Below are 8,985 nucleotides of genomic sequence, written 5' to 3' on the forward strand. Positions count from 1 at the left end.
ACTGACAAAAGGGAGATTAATAGGGAAAAAAGGCACACAGGTTTATTAATGTGCACAGAGGAAAAATCACGAGTGATTACCACACCATGGAATACAAGATGGTTATATATCTTTCTTATTAGGAGAAAGGGAGATGGAGAAGCGTTAATGCTTCTAGTGTGGTAGTAAATCATCTTTAGGAGAATTCAATAGGCATGCAGAACACACAATGATCTAGGACAAAGTTTGTTGGGCCCACAGAGCAGACAATGGTTTGTAACATATCTTTCCAGGTGCACAGTTAGACTTCAATCTTTGTTCCTGTGATAATAGTTCAGCTAATGAAAACTCACGGAAGGAATCAGAGGCAATTGTTTTCTTCTTTGGCATGTCCGAGCTTTAGGCATATAAGGGAACTTCAGAGAACAACTTCATCTTGTGCTTTGGGAGACACAGAGGATTGAGAGGCAGAAGTGGGAAGCGGAGGTCAGAGAGACATTGAAAGTTTTCTTCTTCAGTTCAGCATGTCAAAGGGCCATATTTTGGAGTATTGGTTGTTGACCCCCAATACTATCTTGGTAATCCCAAGACTCACTGGAGTTGTCTTTTGGTAACACAGGTAGGAATAGCCAAGATTTATTTTATTCTTTGAAGATCAATCAGAAGACTCTGTCCTGAATTGTAATGTTCTAAATATTTTACTTATGGAAGACAGAGAGTTCTAGCTTCTTTTTTAAAAGACTTTATGGACTTTGGTGGTTAACTTCTTTAATAGTTAGAGGCTTTTCTCTATGGAGGCCTTTAGGGTGGAGAACAAAGTCATGTCCTTCACATATGCAATACGAAGAGAATGCAGAGGAAATTCCAAATCTGCTATGTTTTCTTTTAAGACTTGGGAAAAGTACATGGGTCTTTCAATATACCCCTAAGGCATTACAGTTCAGATATATTGCTTTCTTTCCCAGGTTAAGGAAAAAGAACAAAACAAAACTGGCTATCTGGATCAACTGGGATGCTAGGAAAAGCACTGCAGAGGTCAGTCACAAAGAAAGCCTAACTATCTGGTGGTATGGCTGGTAGAAATGTGTGTGGGTTACTTATAACAGGATGGTGGGGTATTATAATTTTATTGATGTCTGTAAAGTCTTGGACAAATTTCCAAATCAGTTATTTGAATTTTGTACTGGTAGGATTGGTGTATTAAATTGCCTAGTGTATAAAATGATTACCCTTGCTTGGGGTAATCCTCAATAATTGCCTTGATTTCCTGAATGGCTTTCTGGCATGAAGGTATTGTTTAGTATTTGGAAGTCTTTTTGTTTCATCTATCTGTATTTTAATTGTTGATACTGATGAATGTGATCAACGGCAGTGGTGCGCTGGGACCATATGTTTTCAGGGATAGAGTTGAGTAAGTCCTAAAATGTTTTATTAGGAGAAATTTCCTCTTTGTGTTCCAGAAATAGAAATATAGGGACAAAGTGTTCAGTGGGTTCCTAGAGGATTGCCTCTTAAGCAGTTTTTGTTTTTTATTTTCCAATGCTAATGTCATTTTCCGTTTTTGAGAGAAAAAGAAAGTGAGCTCTATGAGTTTCAAAAAATCTCAGGTACTTAATTTAATGGAAGCTAAGGGACTAAGAGCAACTGGTGAGAAACCTGTAGTTCTGTGACTTGAAAGTCTGTAAAAAGAGAATAATAAGTAAATTGTCATCAGTTGATTTGAAACCCCAACTATTTGCATTTTGTTTTCCAAGGAAGAACAGAAAATGTAGTTGAGTTTATTATTGACAATGTGGCCCTTGTATCTATGAAAGTTATAAAGGCTTCATATTTAATGATTTCAATTTCACGTAAAGTCATAGTTAAAAGAAAGGGGTAAGCCTCCCTGGAAGCATCTCTAGCATTTTGTCTTACAAGAGAAAGGAAAAGGTACATTTTCATGTTATTATCTGAATTACATTCCCCCAAAAAAGTGATCAAAATTTAAAGTAAAGGAAAAAATACATATAGGAGTTATTTAAAGATCCTCATCTGGGTACCTTTATATGCATTTACACAAATGAAGAAAACATTTTTAAAGAATGTATTAAGATATTTTCCAATTAATATTTTGTAATTTTAATTTTTCTATAATTAATATGAAATGTAATCTGAAATTAATGGCAATAACTGATTAGGCTATAATATTTGTAGTGATTTCTCATTTAAGTTAGGAAAGATATTTAAATGTGACACAAATGGTTCTGCTATTTTCCTGGCCTCATATCACAGTTAATTTCACTGTGACACATAAAGGTGAGTTTAAGAGATTATGTTTTCTATTATAAAAGGTTATTAGTTACTAAGTTGAGAAATATTGTACATGCTTCAAGAATACTGTCTAAATGACCTCTCTAGAGTACACATTGTTTTTTTTTTTCATTTTCCTTCCATGTATTTAAAAAAGGCCCTTAAGTTTACATTCATAAAGAGATGTTTAGCCATTTGCATTTATCAACCACAACTTTGTATGACACCAGAGAATGTAATGACAGACAAATGATTTGAATAATTAATTTTAAACCTCCCACATTAAGTGACTCAACATCTGGCAAATTTACAAGAGAAAAACATTAGAGTTTTTATGACAAGTAGTCTTTATTCATTCACTGTAACTAATGTTTATGAGCTGCAGTATGGAAACCTGTTCTGGTTCTCTATGCCCCTGCCTTCCCCATGGATAATATTACGGGAATGAAAAGTTTTGTGGCTCAATTAGGAAGTAAACACATGTAAACAAATACACACATAAATAAAATAACATTTTTTACAGTTTGTACAGCTGTCAAATAAGTTTTTTGTATATTGTTTAAGCAACCAATGTGTTGACTTGATTTGAATAATAAAGAATAAGCTTAAGATAAATTTGGGGTATTAAACATTAAACATGGATAAAAAACAGTGAATATATAAAGGGGAGAGGGTTGTTCAATTTTTCATAAATAAATTTTAAATACTCATTACATATTTGAAAGACATATATGTGTGTATGTATATACATGTACATATATGTCTCATAAAGCAGAAACTACAAAAACACAGCACCATAAAAATAATATCTGGTAAATTTTCTTGAATGAATTTGCATGTGGACACATATGCAGCATTCTCAAAAGAAGAATATTTTAAAAATTATCTGATTTACTAAATAGTCATTTGTCTTTAAAGTGTTATAATTTATTTCTGGAAATACTGACAGGAAGAAGAATATAGAAAATGATTTTACTTTGATTTAATATAACATATATATCTGAATCTTTGCTTTTTAAACCAATAGATGACTTCATTAATAATTGTAAATGACACATTACCATTGGGAATATGTACTTTTAGAAATATGTTTCTGCAACTGAACATTAAACAGATTAAACAGTGTAGAGGAGGAAATATATTTTTTTCTTTTGGTCTCATAAATTATTTGTTGGACTGGACTCCTGTAACAAAAGACAGATTAACAAGAGATAAACAAGCCTAAATTTATTAGCATGCATATTTTGTATGTACAGATGTTCCTCAATTTACAATGCTCTTATGTCCCAATAAACCTTTTGTAAGTTTTCAATATCGTAAGTCAAAACTTTTCAACTTATAATGGGTTTATCCAGATGTTATTTGTTTCATCAAGAAGCCCACTGAAGACCTATTGTTTTCACACTATCATAAGTAAAAAAATATATATATATAAGTTGAATTATCATACATCAAGGAAATTCTGAATATGGGACACACCCAGAGAATGAGTAGTTCTCAAAGAGGTGGGTTTGCAATCCAGGTTATATGTCATCTTCAACAACAATAAATTTTTAAGGAAGTAACAAGACAAAGGAAAAGGAATCTTTAGGGGTAGCAAATCAAGGGAAGGCAAATAAATGGCACATAATGGCTAGTTAGTAAAGCTTGTTAATGTAGATTCCTCTGGTATCATCCTGTAAGAGTCTAAAGTTTTCTTCAGTGGCTAACCTTTGTTCTGCCTGTTGGAAGCATTTGGTCACAGGGAAGAATATCTTCTGTCTTTGTATATCCATGTCTTGCTTTTAGGCATATAGAAGGATGACAGAGTTTTTCTCTACCTGCTTCTTTGTAATTGCCTTCACCTCTATAGTCCCTGATATTTAGGGGTGGTATGTTTTATTCTCCCCCACTAGTGAACAACCAGAGCATCGTATTGGGTAGTGACATACACACACTCTTGGAAATATGCAGGAATGAACAACAGAGCTACTCAGATGAACAGCTAGTCATGCAACACTGAAAGCTGAAGAGATCAATTAAGTAAAACAATTACGCTTGCTTGTTAAAAATAAGCTAAACCAAAATATTGAAGATTTTGCTTTATAATGATGCTTACCACTTACAATTATCAAAATCTTTTCTTATTTCCATTAGCAGTATTAATTTCTCTTAGCAATATTTGATAGAAGTATCGTGGCCTATGTGGGTATGTTATCTGCTGATTGATTTCATCATCTGTCAAATGTTTTTAAAATTATTTTAAGTTGAATTTTCCCCTTAAAAATACGTTATGGAGATCTGTTTCAATATGCGTCATAAATATTCAATCCAGGAAAAGAAAAAAAGATCCACTACAAAATCATTATCTTACATTTACTTTCTACACAAATTCATATGATTGCTTTTTTGCTTATGAAATACACTCAAAATCTACTGTGTTTTTGGAGTTTTTTTTAATTGAGATTTGCATTACATCAAAATAATAAAATACCTTTGAATACATAAAATCTATTTCTGAAATATTTATCTGTCCAACAGATGGAATTTTATGAAAAGCATCCTATTTAAACATTTTTAAGACAGTACTAGGAATATGGTATTGGAGCTCAAAAACACATATCCCAAACCATGGCACTTTGACATGCTGAACTGAAGAAGTCTTCTCAAGGTCTCTCTGACCTTCACTCCTTCCTCTGGTCTCTCAATGCTGTCTCTCCTAAAGCACAGGATAAAATTGTTCTCTAAAGTTTCCTTATCTGTCTAAAGTTCAGATCTGCCAAAGAAGAAAACAATTACCTCTGGTCCCTTCCCTGAATTTTCATCAATTGACTCAGATCACAAAAAGAAAGATTGAAATCTGTCAACAAACCTGGACAGACTTTTGTCACAAACCATTATCTGCTCAGTGCGCCCAACAAACTTTGTCCCATGCCATTGTAAGTTCTTCAAGCCCATTTAATTCCCCTAAAAATCATTTACTACCTCTCTAAAATTATCCACACTTCCTGAATCCCCTACCCCCTTAGAAGTAGGATATATAGGTGTATGTACCCCATTGGGATATTGGGCAATCATTCCATGATTCTCCTCCATACATGCTAATAAATTTGTATGCCGTTTCTCCTACGAATCTGCCTTTTGTGAATTGGTCTTTCAGCAAAACTTCAGAGGGTGAAGTTTTCCCTTGGCCCCTACAATGACTTGATTAGATTAAAAATTTAAAATATCACATTAAAATGTTTGTTATAGTACCTGTAATTTTATTTGACATTTTCTCTCTGGAAAGTTATAATTGCTTCTCAGATGTCATGAATCATGTGATTCAATGGTTAGAGATCTATTTTGTTTGAAGAAGCAGCTAGAAATAATAGCAATAATTATTTACACACAGGTTGATGGATATGTAAGCAGATAAGGAAAAAGAGATGCATACTGAAACTGTATTTATCTTATACTTTAAAGTAAAGTACATTTTATATTATTTTTATCATAAAATCATGAACTATAATTTCTTTAGAAAAATATGGAGTGACCATGATTTATTCATGTCTTCTTCTAAAGAACCATATTATTATTGTACAAGTTGACAAAATTGAAAAACTACAAACATAAGATTGAATAAAATATCATGTCATTATATAAACTGTGAATAATTCAAAACAACATGCATTTCTTTTGTATTCGTATAGTAGGAAGTTATTTCCATCTTGAACAAAAGCAACTCAGAATTAAATAAGCACTATTTTTACTACTTCTAGAGCATTATAAAACAGTTGCTGTTATATTGGTGTTTTTCTCACTGCCTCATTCTGCATCACTGCTGCATTTAAAGAACAATGAGACACTTCTTACTGTCCAAAACTATTAATGCTACAGCTATAGTCAATTATATGTTTGATCAGTTATTAAAGCTAGAAAATAGAGCAAAGTGAAACTTCTGTTGGATTAAAATTAAAATGTGTGTAATACGAAAAGTAACTTGTGTTTTTTCTAATATTTCAGAATTCTTTACATGTTTTTATATGTAGTTTTATGTTTCCCTTATAAAAACTACATATATTGAAAAATGTCCACCTTATGGAAAAACATATCTATAAAATACAAAGAGCCATATGTTGCTTTTCTTATGCAATCCCTTGTGCTTCTTTTAAATCGTCTTTTAAAACCCAATGAACCTCATTTTAATATTAATTGTAACACTTGGCACTTAGCGCTTTTCCTCTGAAGAAAGCCAAAGCACTTAGCGATGAAAAATCTCAGCCATCAACCAGGACAAATATGTGAGGAAGGACTCCATAAATGAAAAGCCAATTTAAACTAGGAAGCGATTTGAATTCATACCCCTTTCAATTGGGCAACAGGAAAAGAACCAATTTTTCACCAACTCTAAAGATTTGCAGCAGAAGATAAAGGTAAATCACTACTCGGTCCTTGTTGTTCAAAAGACACATGAGAAAGAAGCAATAAGAAGAATTACACACTAAACCTATCTACATGAAGCTGATAAAATGGATTATAGTGTGCCAGGCATGGCCAGATCCATTCCAAGGAGCAAAACTTCTTAAGTAATATGCATACTAATCAGAAAACCCAGGAGCACAGAAGAAAAAAATACAAACACAGACACAGACACAGACACATACACACAAACACATTACATTTGTTCTACACTTTTTTGTATAAATGGTGGTTAAATGTAGTCCTTAATGTCAGAAAGAACTTTGTTTGATTTTTTATTCAGTACATTGCTAGCTTAAAGGCTCTGAGCCTTTATGCCTTCATCTGAAAATTGAGGACAATGGCACATTTCTTGCCAGACTTGTAAAATTATAATTAAAATAAGGAATATATATGGTTTTGTTATAAATAAAGTTTCAGTGCCTCAAAAGAAATAGCACTCGAATATAAAATTTCCTTTTTAATTCTCAGCAGGGCAATGTACTTCTATAGAAGGGTGCGCCCTTACAGATGGAGCAATGGTGAGCGCACTCCTGGACAAGGGAGGGGAAGGGGTTCTTATCCCTGACGCACGTGGCCCCTGCTGCTGTTCATTCCCTTATTGGCTAGGGTTAGACGGCACAGGCTAAACTAATTCCGATTGGCTGATTTAAAGAGAGTGATGGGGTGAGTGGTTTGGTGGGAAAAATGGTTATGGCAGAGCAGGAAATTGGAATGAGTCAGGGTGGAAAATGAGCAGGTAATCCGAATGAGTCAGGGTGGAGCAGGTAATCAGAATGAGTCAGAGTGGAGCAGGTAATCGAAAAAGGTTGCTTTATGAGGAAGTTAAATTTAAAAGTAGAAGACAAAGAATTGAACACACTGACATTGATTCTTTGAAGAAAAATTTAGAACTTATATCTAACAGTTTTTTAAAAGTTAGTTCTTTGTTCATTGAAAGTATTCAATAATGGTAAGTATTATTACTGTATTTACACAGAAGTAAATTTATAAAAATGTATATATTTCATGTTTACTTCAATTTAATATTCCTAATTGAAACATATATTTTGTAGATATTTTAAATATGTATCTCTATTTTATTAGAAAATACAATTATTTTAAATGGTTTTATGATCTCCTGCTTGTTATCAATTTGTTTTTGTATGTCATTATTTGGAATTTTAAAGTATCCTTTCTAAACTCAAAATACAGAACTCATCTTTCTCTATAGTTATCTTTTGCTCATAAAATTATAAACAAATTTTACTCTATATTAAAATATAAACTTCTCTGTATGCAGGTACTTATATTTGATTATAGTTTAAATTCAACATTCATCTGTAATATCCTCAAAAACATAAGTACTCTCAACTTTTCTAAAGTAATTTTACTTTCAAAATACATTATCAATAGTAAGGAAAAATATTTATGTATAATTATCTCTGTGAACTAAGAATGTCTTAATGTCAGCAGAAGTGTTACAGGAAAGGGGCCCCAATCCAGACCCCAAAAGAGGGTTCTTGGATCTCATGCAAGAAATAATTCAGGGTGAGTTTGCAGTGCAAAGCAAAAGCACATTTATTAAGAAAATAAACTGGTGAAAGGACAGCTACTCCATAGGCAGAGCAGGTAGTTCCTGAAAGTAAGAGGAGGAACGCATCCACCCTAGGTACAATGCTTGTATATATGGGTAGATGTACTCTGCTACAAGGGTTTCTGATAAAGAATTAATTTTCTAAATTACTATATTTTGCAAGAATCAATATTATTATCTTTAAAACAAAATTAGGAAAGCCTTTGTTCATCAGATATTGGGATATCTGGACACTCCCAAGTCTGGGTCTGTTTAGTAAATATTATTAATTTGTTCCCTTAACGATAAACACCTAGAGGCTAGGAATGTCTAACTTTCTGGGAATGCAGCCCAGTCTCCGCCTCATTTTCCTAGCCCTCATTCAGAATGGAGTAGCTCTGGTTCAAACCCTTCTGATGATTAGTATTTCATTTTTTACTTTAAGTAAAATTATATATATATATTTTTTCTTATATAAAATGTTATGTGTGTGTGCATATATATATATATATATGCACACACACACATATATATATACACATATATATATACACACATTATATATATACACATACATATATGTATGTATAACACTGTAAGTCTCTAACATACATTCTTAAGGACAAAAGCTCCCCTTCTTTTGTAAAATTTCTTTGAATCTGCAACAGGACCTCAGGATAATTTTACCCTTCCAGTCTTCATGCTAGGTTCTACTCTTTCTC

The 8,985-nt window shown here is 32.7% G+C and overlaps 1 annotated feature.

Annotated features, from left to right (window-relative positions):
* Positions 6,736-7,935: an enhancer, noted in NCBI's record as "P300/CBP strongly-dependent group 1 enhancer chr5:28136643-28137842 (GRCh37/hg19 assembly coordinates)". NCBI's record gives its function as "activates an origin of replication core promoter dependent on BRD2, BRD4, P300/CBP, MED14 and CDK7 cofactors, with strong dependence on P300/CBP, by STARR-seq in HCT116 cells {active_cell/tissue: HCT116}" and the evidence as "EXISTENCE:reporter gene assay evidence [ECO:0000049][PMID:35650434]".

This window comes from Homo sapiens, chromosome 5 (genome assembly GCF_000001405.40).
Source record: "Homo sapiens chromosome 5, GRCh38.p14 Primary Assembly".
Taxonomy (NCBI): domain Eukaryota; kingdom Metazoa; phylum Chordata; class Mammalia; order Primates; family Hominidae; genus Homo; species Homo sapiens.